Here is a 26,275-nt window from a genome sequence, read left to right as displayed (position 1 = left end):
GAAGGAAGATTCAAGAAGTTGCAAACCTCAGCAATAGGGACAAATTATCACTAGATTCAAGGCTACTCTACATCCAAACATTAAAATTGTTAAGGCAAGGCTCTAAAGCAAGGGTGGACACATTTTTCTTAAAGGGATAACTCAGTAAGTATTGTAGGCTTTGTGGGCCACATGTGATATCTTTCACATTTTCTTTGTTTTTTATAAACTTTTAAAGTATGTATTTATTAGTTTCTTAGGGCTTCTGTAACAAATTGCCACAAACTGGGTGACTTAAAACAATATAAATCTGTTCTCATACTCTTGAGGCTAAAGTCCAAATCGAGGTGTCGACTGGGCATGCTCTTTCCCAAAGCTCTAGGGAAGAACACTTCCTTGCCTCTTGCTTCTGGTGGCTGCTGGCAATTGTCATTCCTTGGCTTGTAAATACATCATTCCAATCTCTGCTTCTTCTTCACATGGACTTCTCCCATGACTCCATGCATCTGTGTCAGAAGAAGTGACCAGTGATTGGATTTAGAGCCTATGCCAATCCAGTGTGTCCTCATTTTAACTTGATAATTCCATGTGCAAAGACTCTATTGTCAAATAAGGTCATATAAATAGCTATCATATAGATATGAATTTGGGGGCAACACTACTGTAATAAACATTTTTAACATAAAGGCTGTAAAAAATAGGCCACAGAGTAGAATCAGCTTACATTCTATAGTTTGCAAGTATAAATACTGTAACTTCAAACCAAACTTACAGTAAACAAAAATACTTTATTTCCTACTATTTCAGTTTACTATGAAAAGGACAAATATGAAAAAAAGTCACTTTTAGGTTTCTGCACATTGTGTCATGTGGCATACCAGAGGCTGCTATCCAATTAGGGAAGCTAGGAGCAGAGGACAGCAGAGTGCACACTAATCATATCTGACTAGGCAAAATCACCACAGTTTCAAATGGTTAGTATTCTTATTTTTAGCGCAATACTATCAAAGTATGTTTGTATATTATAACACCTGAATTCACCGCTAAAAGATTCAACAGATAAAAACTTCTAACACCACGGTAAAATAATAAAATTTTATTCCTGCAGTTTCACTAACAGATTCAGGATTCCGAGATGATATCAAATAGCGATAATAATACAATAAAAATGAAAGCTAATACATGCTTTTCGACAACAGTCTCTAACGTTCACTGTTCTCTTCTCTCTTCCAAAAAGGCAACTGGTTCCCCAGCCACAAGTTTCCACTAATCATTTTTTTTATCCATGTTTCACACAGGTAAAATTCCAAACATAAACATTTGAGTCAACATTACCACTCTTTTTAAATAAACTCTATTATTTAAGAATATTTTTACGTTTACACAAAAGTTTCTGGAAGAGTACAGAGACAGCCAGAATATTCCACATCTAGTTTACCCTACTGTTAATATCTTACATTCCTATGTTACATTAGTCACAACTAACAAGTCAACAGTGATACAATATTATGAACTGAAGTCAGTACTTTACTTAGATTTCTTTACATTTTTGTCTAACATCCATATTTTAGTTCTATCTATAATACCAGATTATTTGTAGTCATTATGTTTCCTTAGACCCCTCTGAGCTGTGAATGTTTCTCAGGCTTCCATTGCTTGACAGCCTCAGGGTAAAAGGGGGTTGATTCCTTTCCTCCCTATCATAAGGGTCACAGCTGACACCTCTATAACAAAGAAAGGTTACCAAGAAACAAGTATAACAAATTTAATTGACCATAGTTCTACATGACATGGGAGCCTTCAAAATGAAGATCCAAAGATACAGCAGAAAATGCTCATTTTATGCTTAAGTTCAACAAAGTATGAATGGACCTGTAGAAATATGATTGAACAAAAAGTATATGGTCTAATGCTAACAGACTGAGTGACGAAGCACAGCAAGGCTTCTCTGTTTAGAGTCTTCTTTGCCTCTCTGTGCAGCATTCCTTCCTGCTGGGTATGAGGCAGGACCCTCTCTGAAATTGGGGTTTTATGACCTACAATCAAATGAGATAGGTCAGATAATTTATTTATGGTCAATTTTTATGCAGAAAAGAGGGGCAAAGTCAGAGTAATATTTTTAGGGTTTCTGGCTTGCTTTGGGGAAATGGGTTATGGACTCTTGTCTTGGGGAAAAGAGACTCTAGTTTCTATAGTTTGCCTCAGGAAAGAATGTGGAGGTCAGGAGAAGATTAGGGAGAAACTTGCTTCTGAGGCTGCCTCTGAGACTTTCATTTTGCAGTATTATTTTCTGAGCTCCAACAAGTGTTTTTAGAAATACTAGCCAGTTTTTATGTAGAATGTCCCTCTGTTTATATTTGTCTGATATTTTTCTAAGATTAGATGGGGGATTGTGGATTTTGGGAAGGAAAACCTCAGAGGTAAATTGTAATTTCCTCACACCATTACAAGGGTACATATCCACATGACTTATCAGTGATGATGTTCAGCTTGATCCAGAGGCTGAGGGAGTTTTTGCCACATTTCTTCAATGAAAAGTTACTCTTCACTCCTCTTTTCATTCAGTATTTTTTTTTTAAAGGAAGTCACTTGTGTAGCCCACACTCCTTAAGGAGTGGAGAGTTATACTCTACCCCCTTGAGGGGAAGTATCTGCATAAATTATTTGACTTTTTCTGCATAGGGGATTTGCATATGTTCCCCATCTGTGTATTTTTTTCCCAATAAAACTGGACACAAATTTAAATTCCACATCCCACAGGGTATTCTTTTGCCCTTAACCATTTAAAAATGCAACCAACCACCTTAAAGTGTACAAAACAGGTGGCTGGAGAGGCTAGTTTACCAGCCCCTTTTCTAGTTAACAGGGAGTTTAACATTAATCCCAAGAGACTTGGCTCTCTTTATGTTAAATAAGCTGAGATAAAGTTGCTTCCAACAGAATTAGTCACTTTTTATTCCCTTATTAAATGGTTTCTTTATATCCTTTGGACTCTCAGATATTTACTTTATAATTTGGGTTATCACACTATGACTTTTTTTTCTTATTCAAATTCTTCTACCTGTGGCCATTGGGATCTCTTTCATTTAGCTATGATGTTCTTTTGACATATACTCATTGTTTTTTAAATAGTTTTTTTTTGTTTTGAGCGCCTGTTTACATTTGGTAAAAAATGTGCTCCATACTCATCTTGTATATTTCCTGTCCTAGTCTTAGAATCATCCATTTTTCCAAGGAGCACTGATTCTTTTTGTAAGAGAACAGTGTTGGAAACCATAATATGAGTGTTGTGTGTATTCGTTGCTACTTTGTTCTCATTGCTTCTAGGACCTTACAGCTGATACAGCCAGGAAATGTGTATATATCTTATAAACATATTTATAATGTGTATGTATACAAATTAAGTGGATTAAACACATTTATAAACATTTATAATGTACACATATACAGATTGTATATGCGTGTTTATGTTAGACATGTATGTACATATGATGTGTGGGTTACATATAATATATAGATTATATATCATCTGTGTTTGTACATCTGTGCTCTGGATTGAATGCTTGCATCCCCCAAAATTCATATGTTAAAACCTTAACTCCCAATGTGATGGTATTTGGAGGTAGGGCTTTTGGGAAGAAACTAGGGTTAGATTAGATCATGAGTATGGAGGCTCCATGATCAGATTAGTGGACCTGTAGGGAGATGAAAGGACAGAACTTTCTCTCTTTGTCAAGTGATGGTACAGGGAGGAAGCAGCTGTTTTGTGAACCAGGAGGAGGACCCTCACCAAGAAGTTGACTATAGTGGCATCTTGATATTGAACTTCCAGCCTCCAGATCTGTGAGAAACAAATGTTTGTTTTGGACACTCAATCCATGATATTCTGTTATAGCAGCCCAAACTGACTATTAACCTATTTATGTTAAAGTAAATATGAGTTTATATTGATGACTCCAATTCTAATCCATTAATATATGTATCATTCCGGACTTCTCTTCTTGCTTATCTATAAATTACCAATCTAAGAGTGAAAAACCTGGCTCTCACTGGAACCCAACCACACACTTAGCTGCTAAAGCTCAGCATTCATTAGTGTGGTTTTGGAATTGTTATACTTTACTCCAATGGAAAATACTTTTAACTACTAGCATGCAGTACCTAGATACACTTCCTTTTGTCTTTATTTTTACATACCCCATTCATTTCCAAAATTACTTAGTTCAGCTTTTTCTCACCCATCATCATCAATTATGTTATGCTATACATTCGTAGTAAATTTTTTCATCACAGTCTACATTCTAGAGTCCCCACATCTCTTAACTGATGTTTTAAAATTTGCATACATAACATTCACTCTTTGTGTTTTAAGGCTCTATGTGTTCTGACAAATACACAGTGTTGTGTATCCACTGTTATCACTATCCATCTTAACCAATACAGTATCAAACAGAATACTTTCATAGCCTTATAAAATTCCCTGTGCTCCATATATTCAGCTCTCCTTTATCTCACAAGATTACTGGCAATCTTTGTTCTGTTTCCATAAATAGTTTAGCTTTTTCTAGAATGTCATATGAATGGAATTATAGAGTATGTTGCCTTTACAGACTTACTTTTTTCACTAATAATATCCATTCAAGATTCATCCAAGTTGTTTAGGTTGATAGCCCTAGCCCATTCCTTTTAATTGCTAAGTTATATTTTATTCTATGGATGTACCACAGTTTGTCTTTTCACCTATTAAATATCTTTGCTGTTTTCAGTTTTTGATAATTATGAAGAAGAAAACTTCTATAAACTTCAGTGTGTAGGTTTTAGTATAAAACTCAGTTTTCAAATCAGTTGGCTAAATGCTTAAGAATGCCATTGTTGGGCCGGATGCGGTGGCTCACGTCTGTAATCCCAGCACTTTGGGAGGCCAAGGCAGGCGGATCACGAGGTCAGGAGATCGAGACCATCCTGGCTAACATGATGAAACCCCGTCTCTACTAAAAATACAAAAAAATTAGCCGGGCATGGTGGCGGGCCCCTGTAGTCCCAGCTACTCGGGAGGCTGAGGCAGGAGAATGGCGTGAACCCGGGAGGCGCAGCTTGCAGTGAGCCGAGATTGTGCCACTGCACTCCAGCGTGGGCGACAGAGCGAGACTCCGTCAAAAAAAAAAAAAAAAAAAAAAGAATGCCATTGTTGAGTATGCTAAATATATGTTTAGCTTCATGTGCAACTGGCAAACTGTCTTCTCAAATGGTCTCACTATTTTTAATTCCAACCAGCAATGAATGAGAGTTCCTGTTGCTCCCACCCTTACCAGTAATTGAATCGTCAGGTTTTGGGTTTTAGCCACTCATAGACATGTAGTGGTGTCTCTTAGTTGTTTTAATTTGCATTTCCCTAATGACAAATGATATTGATTATCTTTTCATGTATTTACTTATCATTTTTATGTCTTCTTTGATAAGGTGTCTGTTCAGATTTTATTTTTTTGCACATTTTTACATTGTTAACTTAAGGGTTTTTTCTTTTTTTTTTGTATTCTAGATAAGAAGCCCTTTATCAGAAATGTCAAATATTTCCTCCTTTTTATCTTTACAGTGCCTTTTGCAGATAAGTTTTTAATTTCAATAAGCCAAATTATTACTTTTTCTTTCACAGATTGTGCTTTTAAGTTTTATCTAAAATCTCATCAACATGCTTAAAGTCATATAAATTTTCTTCTGTGTCCTCTTCCTGAGGTTTTATCCTTTTTATCTTGTATTATGTCTTAAATTCATTTTGGATTAGTTTTTGTGAAAGGTGTAAGGTCTGGTCTAGATTCTTTTTTTTTTTTTTTTCTTCTTTGCACAAGATGTTCAAATGTCCCAGCACCACTTCTTGAAAGAATCCATTCTTCATTGAGTTTTCTCCATATATGTGTTGAAATCAATTGACTCTACTCATGTAGGTCTTTTCTTTCTGCAGTCTCTGTTCTGTCCTATTCATCAGTATGTCTATTTCACCAATGCCATGTTTTCTGATTATACTATTTTATAGCAATTCTTAAAATTGAATAATACATGCATTAATTTTTGCCCATCGTCTAGTTCTCATCTTTTTCATCTTAACCAGAAATTAAATCCTTGTTTTTGTTTATGCACCGAATCCATGTTTTAGCACATCTCTCCAGTTAAGCACCTATTGCCTTTCTCCCGCTCACAGTTGATACACTATTGTGATCCCATGTTGAGTAAACAAAGTCTTGTACCTGCTGAAAATTTATTTCCAATATCATTACAATATTAATTGACCTTAATTGTCTATCTATTAATGTTGCCTATCGTAATATATCTTTTAGAAATATTTATTTAATACTCAAATATTTTCCTTATTGGAAGCACAGTTATTCTACTTCAGGAAAAAAATTGTATCTTGTGCTACAAGACACAATTGTAGAAATTGGTAGAAAAGAGAGATACTTGAAAAGATCAAAATTTCCAAAATAAACTATTTAATGATCCCGTTGTTATCCAAAATTTGTGGCAAATTTAACTAGCTAGTAAATAAGAATGTGTTGGATAGAAGATTAATTAGCATTAAAATTAGATTGCACTTGTGTAATTTCACATTTACATATTACTTTAAAAAGCATGAATTAATTTAGGATAAAAGCCATAAACAGATATAATACAAGATTAAAGCACCTTCACTTGCATTATTTGCAAATTATAGGTCTGTTTTATAACAGAAAATGATAAGGATTTCTTTTGTCTTTGGGGCCTGTATTGTAAAATATTTTTGCTTTGCTTTTACAGATTTGGTTCCTTATTATTACTTAATTATCAGATCTTGTGAAAAGCGTCTAATTCTCAGTCTGTCCATTTTGTAACATCATCAATAACTTTGGTGGCAAGTATCAGAAAGACAACAACATCGAATGGGTGTGAGCCACGGAAATGGATACAGGAAATGGATTTTTGCTCTCCTGCAGTTGTAGGCTATAACCAAACTTATTTTAGGGCCTGTAAAGTAGGAGAGCTGCCAGGAAGAATACAAATCATGACTGCCGCAAAAGTGACATTCATAGATTGATGCATTCTATAGAAAGGAGAAAGGTGGTATGTTAGGGACATTAGAATCATTTTTCTTGTCAGAAATAAGTGGTGCACAGTCTTCTTTGCCCTTGCCAACATTTTGCAGACTTTAGTTTTCAAGGTAGTTGTCTTTTGTGCTGCTCTATATGAGAAAAATTTTAAAAAATTTAAAAATAATTACCATCCACAGTCTGGATTTATAGAGAAAAAGTGATATGAATCAATTACTTTGGAGATCAGTCATTGATTTTTCATAAAGCCACTACATAAAAAGATTGCATTTTTCTCTGTTTCAGGCTCCAAGATTTACTGTTGGATTTAACATACTGAAAGCGGTTTTGCTTATCCTCTGTTTTAACCAGAAAAGAGGTCACAAGTCCATGTCACTTATTGCCGTGAATATTGGCATAATCAAACAGAATTCAGCAAGAGCAAAAATGTATGTAATAGCAATGGCCATTTTAATAGTTTTCCAATGGAGCTTTGTTCAATATATGAAGTTATGGAAATCAACATAAGCCAAATTCTAAAATTATATTTTGTAAATATCTAATACTCAACAAATCATAAACTTTCGTAATGTATTTGAACATACCTTCAATCAATTTCCTTTTATGACAATTTTTTTCTGTCATTATGCTAGTATTTGTCATATAAGCCATCATTGAGAAAATACATTGACTTGCTTTTTACCTCTTCTCACCAGAAAATATACTTTATTTAACTGTTTTCTCTGCTTTATATTCTTGGAAGTATTGAGAAATATCATATTAGTCATAAACTTTTTTCAAAATATACTAACTTGTGAAAAGAGAAATTTTATAAGGGACACAGGAGGGTATATTCTTAAAAGCACTGCATATTTATATGTTCTAAATAAACAGATTATGGTGCACAGAAAACACTATTTCCAACTTCCAAATCCCATTAACATGTGCTATTTTCGTCATTTGTAGCATAATTTTATAACACCTACATGATTCTGTCTTTATATCTGTAAAAGATAAATTGAATAAACTCTCTAGATACATAAAGCAAAACAACAGTGTATATCACCACATAAATTATTTGACATTAAAAATAAAAATATGGCTTTTTGAACTGTTTAAAATTAAACATGGTTAACCGGGTGTGGTGGCGTGCACCTGTGGTTCCATCTGCTACTCCAGAGGCTGAAGAGCTCTAGTATTTGAGGTTGCAGTGAGCTATGATTGCACAACTGTGCTCCAGCCTGGGTGACAGAGTGAGATCCTATCTCTAAATTAATTAATTAATTAATTATAAAAAATTAGACATAGGACTGGAGGAAAATTAAAAGTCTTCCAAGTTTTTGAAGACAAAACATCTATTTTATGTTTTAATTTATAGATAACTGCTTCCACTTGTGATCTTCCTCCACTGTAAAGGCACAGATACACAAATGTCCTCCATTTCCATATCCTATTTCTGAATCCAGCTTTAAAAATGTGTAAAATATTTGGCATTTTGAAGTAATTTCAAACATATCTCTAAATATTTAGTATTTGTGATTGATAACTATTGCTCTTAGTAAGATGTCTTGCTTCCTGCTTTAGCTATGTTAATTCTGTCAGATCCCTTAAGGAAACAGAGACTGTTTTCTGTGACTGGAACACTTCTCTTTGAATGATTGCTCCTCCCCAGCATGGGTGTGGCATGCAAAATAATGCCCCCACATCTAGGATGTCAGCAACCTCATCTCTCAAACCTGTGGATGTTACTTTACATAGCAAAAGAGACTGTGCAAGTGGATTAAACTAAGTTCCTTGATATGGGCAGAGTATCCTGTATTAACCTGGTGGGCCCAATGTAATCATTAGAATATTTAAAAGATGAAAGAGGGAGACAAAAGAGTCAGAGAAAATGTGGCAACGAAAGCAGAGTTTAGAGTGGTATATGATTGCTGGCTTGGCAGTTGAAGGAAAAGGCCACAAACCAAGAAATTCAGGTGAACTAATCTTTAAACTGGAAAACAAAGAGGGATGGATTTTCTCCTAGAGCCTCTAGAAGGAATACAATCTTGCCACCGCGTTGATTTTAGCTCGGTGAAACCTATTTTAGTTTTATGACCTCGAAAATTGTGAGATAATTTACTTTCTGTTTCTGTAAGCCACCAAGTGTGTGGTAACTTTTTTACAGAAGCAATAGGAAAAATACAATGGGTAACATCAATCCTTCAGTTAGCTCCCAGGTGAAACGGCACTTCTATCAATAACTCTCTTTTCCAAACTAGCTATTAAATAATCTTTTATCATACTCTCATTCCTTATACTATTTTCCTCAATACATAGTGATAGCGTTTGATAGTCCATGACACTTACCAGAATGTAATCTCAGTATAGAAGGAGAATTTATGTCAGGGTATACAGAATCTTTGGCAGAAAAAAATATTCAATAAATATGTTTGCATAGACAAAGGAATAAATAAAATAATAAAGCTAACTACTAATACTACATATTTATGAGTGTATGCTATGTATTTATGAATGAATGCACCTGTGTACCTCTGCATGTGTGTGTATATGCAGCTTTTTAACTCTAGTTATACTCATCATATATGTCTGCCAGTAGAAATAAACTATCACATGCTCTCAAATACAGAAAGGAAGGATATAGAAAAGATCACTAAGTGAAGTAAGCATTTAAAGTTGTAGGATGTGAAAATGGAATTCTGTTATTTCTACGTTTTTCTGAGTACATTGTGATCTAATTGGTAAAACTTATTCTGATGTGAAATAAAATAAAAATGACAATGAGAAATCACTAAGTAACATCAAAGAATGGCTAGATTTTAAAATGTTTGGTTCTACTTACTACTGGTGAGAATGTGGACAAGGTAACCAAACTTTATTCTAACCACTTTGGAAAAAGGTTTTTTTTTTTGTTGTTTTTTGTTTCGTTTTGTTTTTTTTTTTGAGATGGAGTTTCACTTTCTGCCGAGCTGGAGTACAACGTTGTGATCTCGGCTCACTGCAACATCCACCTCCCGGGTTCAAGTGATTCTCCTGCCTCAGCATCCCAAATAGCTGGGATTATAGGCGTGTGCCACCAAGCCTGGTTAATTTTGTATTTTTAGTAGAGAAGGGGTTTCACCAAGTTGGCCAGGCTGGTCTCGAACTCCTGACTTCAGGTGATCCACCTGCCTCAGCCTCCCAAAGTGCTGGGATTACAGGCATGAGCCACCATGCCTAGCCAGAAAATAGTTTGGCATTATCTACTAAAGCTACACAAATATATTATCTCAGATCTTACACTTCCACTCTCAGATATGCTCTTTAGAAATCTACAAGTTTAGGTTTCTCAAGATACGTGTTAAACGATGTTTATAACATCCTTTTTTTTTTAATAGCTAAATAATGACCACTCTCTCGGTGCTCACTCGTGCATCTGCACTCAGTTGTTATGTCAACTGAGGACTGTCTGGAGTGCTTCAGTTCTTCTCCACATGATCTCTCTCCCTCTAGTAGGCTAGATCGGGCTTGTTCACATGGAGCCACAAAATTCCAGAAGAACAAGAAGAGGCATACAAATCTTCTTGTGGTCCAGTATTAGAACTTGAATGTCATCCCGTCATTGCATTTTAGTCACCAAAGCAAGGGCGTCTCAGAATCAAGTGTTGTGAGAAGTTAACTCTGCTTCTTGATGGAAGGACATGAAGACATTTGTTGCCAATTTTGCAAGCAATCACACCCAGTAATCATGGTATATAGATGTTAGTATTCAAAATTTTATTTTCAGAGCCAAAGCTGGTAAATCTCAACTACTATCCTGCTACTTTTTCTGTATTTTTACCTATTGTCTAATCTATATTATATGATTCTATAAAGTGTCCAACGTCTATATATACATAAATTATTGAATTCTTTTCCTTCCTTTGTTATTAAGATGACCAAATACCAAATGCAGCCACTCAGGATATAAATAATATGTTTATGGGTTATGATTATAAGGGGCTGATGGGAGTGGCAAATGAAGAGGACTGCCATTGTGTATGGGGTTTTGAAGGGGGTGATGATGGGGTTTTGAAGGGGGTGATGATGAATATATTTTAAAATTAGGTAGTGGTGATGGTTACACACCTCTGTAATCATACTAAAATCCACTGAATTAAAGACTTTAAAGGAGAATTTTATGGCATTCGAATTGCATCTCAATTCAAGAATATATGTTGGGTTTTCAAAAATTCTTTATTTTGGGGTCTTTAAAAGACCATTATTGCACATTCTAATTTAAAAATACAATTTTTTTCTTAGTTATTAAGCAATTAAAAATACAATTGTTTTCTTAGTTATTAAGCAATGTTGAATGATGCATCATTTCAGCAGTTTGGCTGGTATCTGCATGATGTGTTTATGTAGCGGACATATACTCTGTTAGACAATGATATGAATTAAAATTATGAAATCACTGCATAAGGTGCTCATAATAATAGGAAGAAAGGCGAGGAGATGTCATAACATTTGTTGCTTTTTAATAATTTAGACTCACTAAAAATAAAAAAAGTTAATGAATTTATCCACATTATAATTTTGGTAAAAACGTGATTTTTTCCATTATGGTTTATTATAAAAAATGATCTATTTTTATAAGATTGTGCCTATATATGGCAACCAGGATGAGACAATATAGAAAGGACATCCATAAATGGTACATATTCAGCTATAAGTGGCATATCAGTCAGTGTCTAAAAAAAAATAGAGCAAATTAAATGTTTGATTGGAACAGATTATTTGCAACAGAAATTGGAGCTTACATAAATATAGAAATATCTGGAGAACTTAAGGCATAGAGTATATAAGGGATGTGGAGGATCAGAGAAAATCACCAACAAAAACATTTGTGTAAGTTGGTTGGTTGGAACTTACAGGAAAATTCCAGACTTTTGTTGGTTTGTTTATTTTCAGTCTGACTGCCAAAATCAACAGAGAGCTCATAGGGAGATATGTGGCAGCTGTCATCACTATGAAAATTGCAGTGAAATGCTTGAGGGTTGACTCAAAAATGCTATTGGTTGGTGGGAATAGTAATTGGGAAGAAAAAAGCTGGATGTTGAATACTTCTGGGCACTTCCATATTTGTCTGTCATCATGTCTGACTACTACAATATACTGAGAGGAGTGATTTCTTCTCACTCACATACATCTGTTGGCTAACTGTAACCAAACCATACAGTAAAGTGGTTTCATGGAAACAGTTGTCAATTCTTGGACTTGAAGTAATTACATACATCATATATTTCAGTTAAAATGAGAATGAACTGATATATTTTTATTTTTATAAATAAATGTTAAGAAAAATTGTAAAATATAGTATATTATATATGTGACACTTAAAAATATCAAAAACACTATTCATTGATTATGTTAGGAAGGATTCAAACTGAGTCCATGTCATAGCTCCTCAAACAAATGATCACTAATACATATCAAATGTTAAAAAAAATCTGTGAGTTGGGAACATAAGTGTTTATTATATATTGCCTTAGTCCATTCCTGCTACTAAAACAAAATACCTTCAACTGGATAATTAATAAATAATGAACGCTTATTGCTCATAGTTCTGGAGGCTGAGAAATCCAAGGTCAAGGTGCCAGCAAATGTAGTATCTGGTAAAGTCTTGTTCCTTGCTTCCAAGGTAGAGCCTTGTTGCTGTGTCCTTCAGAGGGCAAAAGCACTATAGCCTCTCATAGTTGAAGGGACAGAAGCCTCAGACAGCTCTCTAAAGACTCTTTTTTAAGGTCATTAATCCCACTCACAAAAGCAGATCCCTCATAACTTAATTATTTCCCAAAAGACCTCACTTCTTAATACCTCCCACAATGGAAATTACATTTCTACATAAATTTTGGAGGAACACAAACATTCAAACCTTATTCTGTCCAATTTTTTGCAGGCTAGAAATATTTTACAAACATTTAAAAGAAAAGTAATCATTAATGTAGGAAAAATTTATACAGAGTTTTGCAGTACAGCTCATAATAGAAAACAAGAAAATAAACATTAAATAACATGAAAAGTGTACATTCATATTATAAGTATTTTCCATTATTACAGTGTGTATGTTAACATAACAGAAAAATGTTTATTTTACAATATTAAAGTTAAGAAGCAGAATTAAAAAGATTCAAATTTCATATCTTATTATATAGACCTATTAATATGTTATGTATATTATATATGTGATTTTATTAGTGTTTATCTCTTTAGAGTACTTGAAAACTTTTAAGATATTTTCTAGATGTATGACTATAACTTTCTATAGTGAACATAAAAATAAATGGTATTTGTGAGCAAAAGATGAACTAAAACAAGATACAAACATTTTAGGGAAATGTTTATTTTATAATAATAAAGTTAAGAAGCAGTATTCAAATGATTCAAGTGTAATTATTAATGATATTAATTTATGTTACTAAAATACATATTAATATGGGCTAAAATACATTTAAGATATGTATTTTCGGAGGATAATTTTGACACAGTGTGAGAAAGCTTCAAAATCACTAGATGTAAAGCGTAATGACCTACTAGTTAAGTAATGATTTCCTGCCATGAGAAGTAATTCAAAGCTCACTGCCTATAGCAGGGGCTATGGAGGAGATTTGCGTACTAGGCAAAAGTTTTATTAATAAGTTCCTCTATCTAATATTCCACCCAATTTATAACAGTACTACTAAAATTGTACTGACTAGCATATTCTGTTGTGCCTGTTTTGATAATTAATATGATGCCAATTAATTATATTTATTTATTCAGGGATTTTATTATAAAGACAGGTGCAAATAACATTCTTAGACACATCACTCATATATCATTTACTCAACAACATGTACTAAGGACCTTGTGCCAGGCACTATTCTATGCAATGGGGATGATGAATTCATCTATGCAAGATGAATAAATCTGACATTCAATTCAGTTGTTAATTTTGAGGAAATACAAATATGACCAGACTTTGTCAACAATCTGTTCTAAAAATTATTAATAGTTACTGAAAAGCCTAAACATAAAGAAAAATATCACTTTTTAATATGAAAAGCATTTTACTATCATACTGATAAATATCAAAGAGATAATGTTATTCAGGCTTATTTCAATAAGTTGATTGGTACTATGGTATTATTCAGCTTTTATTTCCAATCAAGATACATAAGTTCTCCCTGCTGTATTCAGAATTGTGGCTCCCTCCCAGTCACTTGGTACCAGAGCTCAAGGGAAATCAGCTTCCTCTGCATTCTCCTCTCTCCAGTTTTGCCTTCACGTTCACATTACACACAGAGAAGGTGCCACAGGGAAGATCACTCTCTGCTCACAGTCTGGTTTTGGATCCAAATGATGTAGGAGATGAGTGCCTCTGCCATCTCCCCAGTAACTCTGAAGTCTCTTACTTCTAAGCAGCCTTAACCACTGACATCCTATTACCTGCCCTTTCCCATGTGATATTCTCTTCATAGTCACAGTTGGCTGACTGATATTATAGCAACAATATGTTCCATCCTCATTTAAACAGACCAAGTGGGACTCCTGCTTTGCTATCTACTTTTTCACTCTGGCTATTTGCTATCCTCAATGGGCCTCGGTTTCATCATTTTTTAAGAGTGGAGTAAATAATTCCTACCTCAAAAATTGTTATGGGAATTAAATGACTTCATACATATATAAAGACCAGAGCAGAGTAGCAGGCCAGAGTAAGCTCTTAATAATTGCTAACTCCCATTCCCTTCTGTCTATAGCAAATGTATAGATACTTCCCTAAGGCTCCTTGGAGTTTGGTTTCACTTGATCATTTCCTGCTTCCTTGTCATTGGACAGAATAAGCACATAAAACTATGTCAGCTAAATCTTGAGAAAATACAATTGAGAAATTTGTGTGAAGAGATGAGGTGTAGTCAATTCCTCCATGTGATATGCAGACAGGAATCAATTTTATTTCATAACAATACATTTTAAAAATCCAAGAATATATTAATTTTAATGTATCTTTCCATCCAAGGTCATTGATAATCCATTTGGTAATCTTGCTTGCCTTGGGAAATTTGCATGAGAAGACTTTTCCTAAATGAGTTTTTATTGCATCATACAGAAGAGTTTGTAGAGGAGAAAATTCAGTAATAGTCCACAAGTGTTAAACAAAAGAATGGAAAAGTTGAAAATAATAAGCTTCCCAGTGAATAATAAAGGTTTTGTTAAAACTTTATTTTTTATTGTGATGGGGGCTTGCTTTCTTGCCTAGGCTGGTGTCAAACTCCTGGCTTCAAGGAATCCTCCTGTCTCAGCCTCCTAAAATGCTGGGATTACACATGTGAGCCATTGCGCCCAGCCAATGATAAAGGTCTTTAACATTAAGAGAAAGGATAGTATAGGCCAGGCACTGTGGCTCATGCCTGCAATCCCAGCACTTTGGGAGGCCGAGGGGGGTGGATCAAGAGATCAAGAGATCGGGACCATCCTGGCCAACATGGTGAGACCCAGTCTCTACTAAAAATACAAAAATTAGCTGAGCATGGTGGTGCGCACCTGTAGTCCCAGCTCCTAGGGAGGTTGAGGCAGGAGAATCGCTGGAACTCGGGAGGCAGAGGTTGCAGTTAGCTGAGATTGCGCCACTGCACTCCAACCTGGTGACAGAGCGAGACTCTGTCACAAAAAAAATAGAGAAAGGACAGTATAAAATACTCATCTGTTTAAAGTGTGCCAAAAATATTTGGGCAATTATAATTTAATTTTTAATATTTCTAATACTTATTAATTTCCAAGCAATTAAAGAGAAACACATGCTTTATTTCCAGACTATCTAAATGAATCATATAAACTAGCTATGTATAAGGATTATTAGTCTCTGAGCATATGTTTTAAAGCACAGATTCAAAGATTAAAATACAAGTATGTTAGAAGTAAAAAATTTCAATGGAAGTTTACCTTTAGGGAAACACTAAAATAGCTCTGGTGTTGTGTGACCCTTAGGTAGGTCTACATCATCACACCTTGAGGGAGAATCTGTCAAGGATTCAAATAACTGTAAGAATCATTTTTTCTCTGTAAAACTAGGGAATACAGGCATTTCCAATGAGAATTAAAATAATTTTTATCTGTATGGGTAGTTTATTAAAGTTGGATTGTTTTGGTCAGAAAGTTGATAAAAGAGTTAAAATACTATTGATGTTTTCATCTATATTAGCACTGATATATAAGGATATTACAAAAATAATGCTAAAATGATCTTTTCTTTATTTTTCATTTGGTTTTCATTTTTTGTGTAAGTGTATATATACACCCTTAGTGAGTTAAGAAAAATTTGAAATTCCATATGAATCATTAGGGAGGCAGTGATTCCATCAAGGAGGAAGTAGATTTTTTGAAGACATCATCAAGCTGCAATTTAACGTTCCTACTAGACACCAAATAGAAACACAGCAGCATTGTTTTTTCATGTAAAAAAAATGTATAAGGTGGTTTTTCTGTCATATGTCATGCCATATATATTATACAACTGAAATTTTGGAAGAGTAGTAGAATCAGAGGAATATTCCACATCAGTTACTTCACAGGCAGCAACCAAAGAAATATTTTATATAAACAAAGAGAGACGAGAGAGAGACTGTTTTAAAAAATACAATAAAAAATACAACAGTTCAGTGTAATGTTTGCAAATTACAATTTATACAACGGCCTTTTTGTAGTTTTGCAGCTTCCACAAATAGTATATCTCACAAAAGCTGAAGTAATCCATTAACACAATACTTACAATGTTTAGACCTTAGACCAAACTTTAAATTCCTTAACCCTGGCCTACAGGCATTATAAGAAATGCCCCCTAATGATCTCTGTTACTTTATCAATCATCCCTCTCCCTTACTACATTCTTGTCATCCTGGCCCCTTTGCTGTTCATGCGACAATCATTCTTGCTCTTGCCTGGTAACGTTTGAACTACGTCCTAGGATGTTTCCCTCCAGACATTTGTATAGTTTACTTTAACTTCATGTACATCTCTATTCAAATATCACCTATTTAGAGAGGCTGTCCCTGCCCACTCTACCTAAAATAGTTATCATCATTTATGCTTCATCTTCTTATCCACATTTTCTTCCCAGCAATTTTCACTGGCTATTTGCAAACACATATTTGTACTGTTTGTGTCCTCTAGTTCTCCCTGATTATTATGTAAGCTCCATGAGGATGGGTATAAGGTTTATTTTCACCCATAAAAGGGGCAATTGAAAAAATAAATTACTAAATATTGATTTTAATTTTATGAATTCTTACATTTTAGTGGGAGACTGACACTATTAACCTGTTCCAGGAGTTTATCCTTAGATAGTGCTTCATATTTTTTCTTGGTATGTTACTAATAAATCCATGGGCAAATAAGTATTCTAAAAGCTGTAAATATTATGTTGAGTTTTCCTTATTACGATAAATATTTAGCCATATTGCATAGGGTGTGTTCTTCTAAAAGCTCATGTTTTAACATGTCTTATCAATTACAAAAATGACTTTAAAATAATAAATATATCTTTAATTAAATTATTTAAAACTTTAAGTCAATCAAATCCCAAGAGACTTTGTAATTTCATGCACAAGATAAACTGTATTTTTTTGCTTAATTGAGCTAAGCATTTGGTGAGCTCAGTCAATTATAAATGTTAATTATAAACATCGATTTAAAAATCAGACTTGGGTCTGATATTTTGAAGTTCAAAGCAACATTTCTTGCTTCTTCAAATGCAACTGAATTCTGGAATATTAATGTTCAATTCAAGTAATTGAATAATCCAAATTTAAATTATTAAAAGGTTGGTATTATAGAGATATACACATATATATTATTCTTAGATATAAAAATATTGAAAAGTGAGGCTACCTCTATATTATAATGTTTCTTCTGTACTTTACTATTTTAGCAAAATCAGAATCAATGTCAGTTTATATTTTAAGGTAATTATTTTAAAAGACACATAACTAATTTAAAAGAGCTTTTTATAGCTAAGCTATTCATATAAATAATATTGAGTTATAAAATACAGACATCAAAAGGTTGTATTGCATAGCTAACAGCAAGAACTAATTATTAACACCTATTTGAAATACAGTACCTTAACTATCGTGAGAACTTTTATTGATATTTTTAAATCAAATGTTTCTTATAACAAAATCAATATAGCATTTTAAATAGATAATTCGACCAATGCCTGGCAATCGTCTGAATACATGAGACCAAGAAAGATTGAGGATAATCAGAAACTGATTCATATGTTGTTCTGTTGATTCCACCTGTAAACTTGTTTATTCAACGTTAATTCCTTGAAGTATTAATGTGTAATTAATACTCCAGAATTAATTCTATAATCAATGACTATTACATGACAAAGACAAAGATAAACAGTATTACGTTAACACTATTTGGCTTCTAGTGTCTTTTATCTTTTAATATATGCAAGCCAACATACAGAAACAAATCAACTTATAATATTTAATCCATGTTTTAGGGAAAAAAATCTTTCACCATTTCCTAGAAAGGAAGATTGGACTCAAACCAAAATCTAGGAACTTTACCTGGATGTATCTTATAGTTATTATTGATTATTGACTGCTGTGTGCATCCATTTTCTCACTCGTAGATGGAAGTGTCTGTTGCATTTTTCCTACGCTTTGGGTGTGTGGGAGCCAAAAACTTTATTCTTTTAGTTCACAAGTCTTCAGACCAAGAGTAAGTACAACAAAGGATAGGACTTTCCTTTATCTGCTCCTGGATCTGATTTAGCTTACAAAAATATCCTGTGTAAGAAGCCTGAACCTGATGCTATATTGATATGAGACTATTGTTTGCATTGGAAGGAAAAAGTGTATATTTCATGTCAGAGGAAACAAAATTTATTCCCAACGGAAAGGATGTGGCTATTTTTAAAAAATTAGCAAATACTAGGTACATTTCTCATTAAAAGTTGATGTGTATGGTCCACACCCTCCCCTCCATCCTCACTCCACCTTGAAGTAAAACAGGCTTGTGCCTACCTTGGTATTGAAAATTATATAATATAACTTCTAATACTAGGTCATAAAAGGCCATTTACTTTCTGTCTTGCTTGCTAGAAATCCCACTTTTGGAGCATTAAGCCACCCTTTCATGCTAATGCCAACAATGCACCTAGAGGCCATAAGTAGGCATTCTGGTAGACAGTCCTAGAGTACCTTAACCTTTTCAAGGCTTCTTATAAACTTTGTGTTTATAAGCATGAATTAGCTTTATCCTTAGGGCAAGTTTAGCCTTACTTAAAACAGTGTAGCTTTCCTTGGATCTTGTCTGAATGTTGCAAGTGTTCAATGAGGATTCTACTTTCTGGCTGTTCCAGTCTTGAAAGTTTCCAAATCCTACGTGAAGTCTTGGGAAACTTCAATTCACAATTCCTCCATATATGCAAAACCTACACAAATGACATATGAGGTTCTTTTCTGTTATAATGAAGAAATTAAGTTTTGAGCTTTGTAGCCAAAAAGAGACCTTTCCATGAACTAATACATCTCTCCCTCTAAGTGCCAGTCTTTCAAAATACTGGCTAGACGTTATCATTTCAAACATTATTATTATTGCAAATAGGGGAACTAGTTTTAATATGCTATCTTGTTGACCTAGTAAATATTTCCAGGTATAATTGATTTACAATAAGAGACAATACAGCGTAATAGTGAAAAACAGGCGCTCTGGAGCCGGACTGGATTTAAATCTTTGCTCTAACCCTTACTAGGGAGGTGAATTTGGCCATATTACTTAACCTCTCTGTGCCTCAGTGTTTTGTCTCTTGAAAAGGGGTGGGGGAGGGGAGATTATCACAGTATCTACCTCACTGGGTGTTTCAGGAAAGTTAAATTCATAAATATAAATAAAATGCTTAGCACAGCAACTGGTAATTAGTACTGGGAGTTTGCTGTTATTATTATGCTATTGTTGTTATAATTAATGATCTGAAGAATAACCAGAGCTCTATAGGTTTATCATGATTACTAATGAAGATGCCACTAAAAAAAAGAATTCAGGAGCATCTTGGCGGTGGCAGCGAGTTTGAAGATGCGACGATCAACGTTGAAGATCACCGCTCGCAACCCCGGGCCTGGCGCCGGGTAGGGGCGCGGCGCTCGATTTCCTTCCCTGCCTCCGCCGTCCCCCTGGTGCGCATGCTCAGCTCAGCTCGGCCCTCGCCTTTGATTTATTTTTTTTCTGGGCGGCCGCTGCGACCCGGGACTGACTTCGGGATGGGAAGTGGAGCCCCCGGAGCTGCTACCGTGGCGGCGGCGCTGTGAGGAGCAGCCAGGGGGAGGCAGCTGCGGCTCGCCGGTGAGTATCCGGGAAGCGCCACCATGGGGCTCCGTAAGAAGAGCACCAAGAACCCCCCCGTTCTCAGCCAGGAATTCATCCTGCAGAATCATGCGGACATCGTCTCCTGCGTGGGGATGTTCTTCCTGCTGGGGCTTGTGTTCGAGGGAACAGCAGAAGCATCCATCGTGTTTCTCACTCTTCAGCACAGTGTTGCTGTCCCTGCAGCAGAGGAACAAGCCACGGGCTCAAAGTCCCTCTATTATTATGGTGTCAAAGATTTGGCCACGGTTTTCTTCTACATGCTGGTGGCAATCATTATTCATGCCACAATTCAGGAATATGTGTTGGATAAAATTAACAAGAGAATGCAGTTCACCAAAGCGAAACAAAACAAGTTTAACGAGTCTGGTCAGTTTAGTGTGTTCTACTTTTTTTCTTGTATTTGGGGCACATTCATTTTAATCTCTGAAAACTGCCTGTCAGACCCAACTCTTATATGGAAGGCTCGTCCCCATAGCATGATGACATTTCAAATGAAGTTTTTCTACATATCCCAGTTGGCTTACTGGTTTCATGCTTTTCCTGAACTCTACTTCCAGAAAACCAAAAAACAAGACATCCCTCGTCAACTTGTCTACATTGGTCTTCACCTCTTCCACATTACTGGAGCTTATCTCTTGTACTTGAATCATTTGGGACTTCTTCTTTTGGTACTGCATTATTTTGTTGAATTACTTTCCCACATGTGCGGCCTGTTTTACTTTAGTGATGAAAAGTACCAGAAAGGCATATCTCTGTGGGCCATTGTGTTTATCTTGGGTAGACTTGTGACTTTAATTGTTTCCGTACTCACTGTTGGGTTTCACCTGGCTGGATCGCAGAATCGGAATCCTGATGCCCTTACTGGAAATGTAAATGTGTTGGCAGCTAAAATTGCTGTTCTGTCGTCCAGTTGCACGATCCAAGCCTACGTAACATGGAACTTAATTACTCTCTGGCTTCAGAGGTGGGTAGAAGATTCTAATATTCAGGCCTCATGTATGAAAAAGAAACGGTCGAGATCTTCTAAAAAAAGAACAGAAAACGGAGTGGGAGTGGAAACTTCAAATAGAGTAGACTGTCCGCCAAAGAGGAAAGAGAAATCTTCATAATCTTTGCAAGCGCATTGATTAATGTCTGCAAAGGAATCTGCTCTTTGAGGTTTCTTTCTGCACTAGAGATTTTTCTGTTTTTGAAAATAGTTCGTGCTCTTCGGTTTTTGTTATTGAACTGTTTCATGTATTTTTTAAAGACATTTGAGGGGAGGAGGATTATTATGAATGGGAAAAAAAGATTTTGGTTGAGACTAAATTACTCATCGTCAAAATAATGTCAAAATAGTTTTGGGGATCACCACTATATTTTGTTTTGATTTTTAACCTTTCAACATTTTCCTAATGATTTGCAGAGATAACTGCACAATTTTGCATATCAATGATACTGGTTCTTACTCCCACCAGTGTTTCATAATACTAACAAGATGGTCTCTCCTAGCAAGATTATGTGTTTAATGCTTGCTTTGGGGTAAAATAAAAGTACGAAAAAGGTGGAAGTCAAATCAGTATTCTGTAATTGTTAGAATTTATTTTTTAAGAACTTACAACTCAGAAAAGATTGCTAGACTCACCAAAATAATAAATGTTCTTTATTTTACAGGTAGTGATTATTAGTGCTTCATCCCCATTTAAAAAAACACAGTACTAATGGGTAACACATATGGAGGTTTGCTGCCATATATATTGCATCAAAATATCATTAATTAATATAAAAATATTAAAATCATTCCTGTCCATTCCACTTGTAAATGGGAATTCATGAAATTAAATATTACTTTAAAAAGGACATTGAACTTAGTCTTTTTTAAAAATGTTTATTAAAAATGATTCCTAATGAGGCCTTGTAAGATCAGTAACCACAGCATCTTAGAAAAATATTGTTTGTATACCAGGTTGAAAAATAATACTTGGCATGTGTATAAAAAAAGTCAGCTAATTACATTTGGAAAGCATGTTATGCATCAACCTTCAATAAGTTGAAAATCAGATAGTCACATGAAAGGCTTTTGAAAAATAATGTTGTGATTATTTGTCTTCATCTTTAATTGGGGAACATTTATCTGTATAAGACATATTTTGAAGATTATTTACATACACATGTATGTATAATCTGTATCTTTGCAGAAGCCAATGGAAACAATGGGAATTAGTGGGTGAGTATTTATACGTATTGCCTCTCAATCCTTATTTCAGTTTTATTTCCATAATGTGTTTATATAATTTTTCAGTAAGACAGTACTTTACAAATATGCTAGGGGAAGGCCATATATTTCCTATTCCGTTATATTTTCTCCTACTATGTCTCTCATCTCTAAATATTTTATAGCCAGCCCTCTCTTTGGTTTAAGTAATTCAACTCTCCCAAGCATGGAGGGCCCTCAAAATCAAGTTTAATGCTTTTATTACAGATCACAGACAGAAGAGCCACTCTTGGTAAAACATTCCTTTCTGTCTGCTTTCAGAAGTAAATATCAAAGCAAGATTTCATTTTTTAAATATAGAATCCATCATCTTACCTATTTTTGTTTTCAGTTACTGAATACTGTAATATTGGTAGCACATGTTGTAAGGTCCAAAGTAAACCAACTTTATGCAACTGAAAAACAAAGATTTTTACCTTCTCGTATGACAGAGAGTTCTTTTTTTAAAACCATTCTAGCCCATTACCTGTAACCCCACTCCTGGTAAGAAATGCCCTATATATTGTATACTTCTTTACAAATAAGTGCAGATCTGACTCAAACTGGAAAAATAAATTACAGAAAAATTATTATGTTACATGATTAACAATGCCAAGAGTTAAATTTGGCTTAGCAATAGATGTGATTAGGATTTAGATCAGTTTCCCTAGGATTTTTCTTGGCTCTAACCCCTTAGCTTTATGTTCTTCATGGCAGCAAATAATGAAAGCTATTCTAGGCTTTGTTTCTTTAACCCTGTGATGGAGAGAAAGAGAAAAAAACTAATTTCTAAAATTCCCAAGACAATGGGAGTTACCTTTAGTAAAGTCATTTGATAAAGGAGTATACTGGGCTGATGGATGTAAGTCAGGTTTCATGCTTCACCCATGTAAAAAGGCAAAGCCTGTTTTGTGTGTGTGTGTGTGTAAGATATTAGTTCACAAGAGGAAGCAAGGTTATTGAGAAGAATAAAGGGAAAGATGCTGGCTACATCTCAACTACTCACAATGGTATTCCTACTCAATAAATATCGTCAGAAAATAAATGCCAAATAAATTATGAAAGCAACATTACAAATGAAATTTAGCTCAATACAAATTAGGTATTTTTAAAAATTTATTCTCAAAACATTCATGCCATGATATATCTCAGTGTGATGATTTGGTCTGTGTCAAAATGGACCACATGGAAACATAAATTTTCATTATGATTTGAGTTATTAAAGCAGGCATTAAGTAACCCTGTGAAGGCTCAAATAGCTGATTATCTGCCCCTCCCAACACCAAAACTGCAGAAATCATAAAGGTGTATCTAATATTTATATTTAAAGATTTTCTGATTTATTGCCTTCAAAGTTTAGCCTTATATTTTAAATAAGTCTACAAGTATAGGTTTTTCCAGCATGGGGTCAAAGTATATGTTTATTTTTGAAAAATGATTCTGCTAGCATTTAATTAACAGTGTATACCATTTGTTTTTAAACAAATAGTATCAATGTGTCATGCAACCTATATATCTTTTAAGGGACAAAAAAGTTTTAGGACTTATTATTCTCTTACTGATAAGTATAATTCTCCATTGATTTTAATTAGAAAAAAACATAAAATACTTTTTCATCTATCTTTCATCAATATTTGTTGATCGGTTAGCAGAATTATGCATAACCAATACTGTATTAACTTGGAATAGATTCAAGAAGATTAGAGTTATTAAATTAATAATTTAAAGCTTGCTTGAAGACAAAATATTCTGATATTCCTTTAAGTTGGAAAAATAAAGGTAAAGATTAAGTTTTCACTTAACTAGACTAAGTGAGAATAATTTGTATAGAGTAACAAAATACTTTTTACCAATGCTTTATGCAGGACTTGTCATATTGGAACAGTTGCTTAGAGGAAGTTCTTGTGGAAAGCCGTGTTTGAGAACGTGGCATATGAAATAGGCTAGTACTTGGGCCTTTGCACTATGGCAGAGAATGCCCTCCAATGGGAGAGCAGACCTTTGTAATCTGGACAAAATAGACAGCGTTGTTGAGTATACAGAGGTAATTACTTTTATTTTTATTTTTATTTTTTTTTTTTTGAGATGGAGTCTCACTCTCTCACCAGGCTGGAGTGCAGTGGCGTGATCTTGGTTCACTGCAACCTCCGCCTCCTGGGTTCAAACGATTCTCCTGCCTCAGCCTCCCACGTAGCTGGGACTACAGGCACGCGCCACCATGCCAGGCTAATTGTTGTGTTTTTAGTAGAGACTGGGTTTCACCATGTTGGCCTGGATGGTCTCAATCTCTTGACCTAGTGATTCGCCTGCCTTGGCCTCCGAAAGTGCTGGGATTACAGGCGTGAGCCACCGTGCCCGGCCAGGTAATTACTTCTTACTAACACCAAACTATCTGACCAGAGAATTCAGTAGCATTTAGTTAACAGTGTATCCCAGTTTTAAAAAAACAAATAGTATGAATGTGTCATGCAACTTACATATCTTGTAAGGGACAAACAAGTTTTAGGCTTCATTATGTTATGATAAATCTCAGTGTGATGATTTGGTCTGTGTCAAGATGGACCACATGGAAACAAATTTTTATTATGATTTAAGGCATTAAAGCAGGCATTAGTTAACTCTGTGAAAGTTCAAGTAACTGATTAACTATCAAAAACAGGTTAATCAGTTAAAAACTGGTAGGAATTTCTATGGAAATAGAGAAAAAAAATTTGTTCACTGCCATCTTTCAATCAAATCTACCTTTCGTGAGAAACTACCCGCACTAAATAAGACAGAGTGGTACCTGCCAATTACTCCAATTTATGTAGAAAAAAACCTCATACATCCTTCATGCAAAAATTATACATTTCTAAAACATTGAATTGGAACATTCTTATACAGTCATGTAACTGTCAAAATTTTCTATCTAAATCCCTATTACCGAGTTCTTTTTAGGACCTGCACCCACTCTGGCAGTTTTAAGTATTAAATAAATGTGGAATAAGCCAAACATTAAGAATTCTGCTCATGAGATTATTTACCTGGGTTTTCCTTTTTCTTGACAGGTGACCTTGCATTTTGTGTTGCAGCATTATGTCAGCTAAATTTTTCATTTTAAAATCTAAAAAAATACATTAATGTGTAAACTGACCATTCCAGTAGACACTTACATAGATGAGGAAAAGACAGTGGGTTGTGATAGGTGGTTAAAGGTTCATGTTAATTTAAAAATGAAAATGGTTAAACTAAATTCACAGTAATGATGTGTGTATCTTCTAGCCAGCCTAGGAGTGTCACTGTTAAGGGATGTGGTTACTCACTGAATCAGGAAAAATTTCAATTTTAAACAAAGGGCAAGTTAACTCCTTAAGGTAAATGTAAGAAAAGGCTCAATTTCAACACCACCCGCATCATTCACCAAATCAAATCATGTCAGCATTGCAGAATCTCATGGCTTGAGGAAAGTTTGCAAAAATATAGATCATTTACTAGCGCCCATGTGGGATTTCTCGTAAGCCATCACACACTGAAAAATATTTACATCCCAAAATAAATTTAATATCTCATTCTCTTCATGCCCTTATTGCTTTAACTACAGAAAAGCAGCTGTCCTCTTAACTCAATCCTCAAATAAAAACAGCCA

At 34.7% G+C, this 26,275-nt stretch overlaps 1 protein-coding gene and 1 long non-coding RNA gene across 2 annotated transcripts; one reads left to right on the top strand and one right to left on the bottom strand.

Moving 5' to 3' along the window:
• Window positions 1-278: 278 nt before the first annotated feature.
• Window positions 279-25,557, bottom strand: LOC105377388 (uncharacterized). Its single transcript, XR_939103.3, has 3 exons — window positions 22,987-25,557; window positions 19,334-19,485; window positions 279-485 (listed from the first exon to the last, which is right to left on the bottom strand). It is a non-coding gene; the product is annotated as an uncharacterized LOC105377388 (long non-coding RNA).
• On the top strand, window positions 20,234-22,256 carry TRAM1L1 (translocation associated membrane protein 1 like 1). Its single transcript, NM_152402.3, has one exon. It carries the CDS (start codon window positions 20,417-20,419, stop codon window positions 21,524-21,526), a length of 1,110 nt encoding a protein of 369 aa, NP_689615.2. The 5' UTR covers window positions 20,234-20,416; the 3' UTR covers window positions 21,527-22,256.
• Window positions 25,558-26,275: the final 718 nt, after the last annotated feature.

This window comes from Homo sapiens, chromosome 4 (genome assembly GCF_000001405.40).
Source record: "Homo sapiens chromosome 4, GRCh38.p14 Primary Assembly".
NCBI lineage: Eukaryota > Metazoa > Chordata > Mammalia > Primates > Hominidae > Homo > Homo sapiens.
This window is presented reverse-complemented; position numbering and strand designations above follow the sequence as displayed.

Bases quoted from the DNA above. Each gene is read 5' to 3' on its own strand.
- TRAM1L1 (NM_152402.3), top strand. From the start codon at position 20,417: ATGGGGCTCCGTAAGAAGAGCACCAAGAACCCCCCCGTTCTCAGCCAG.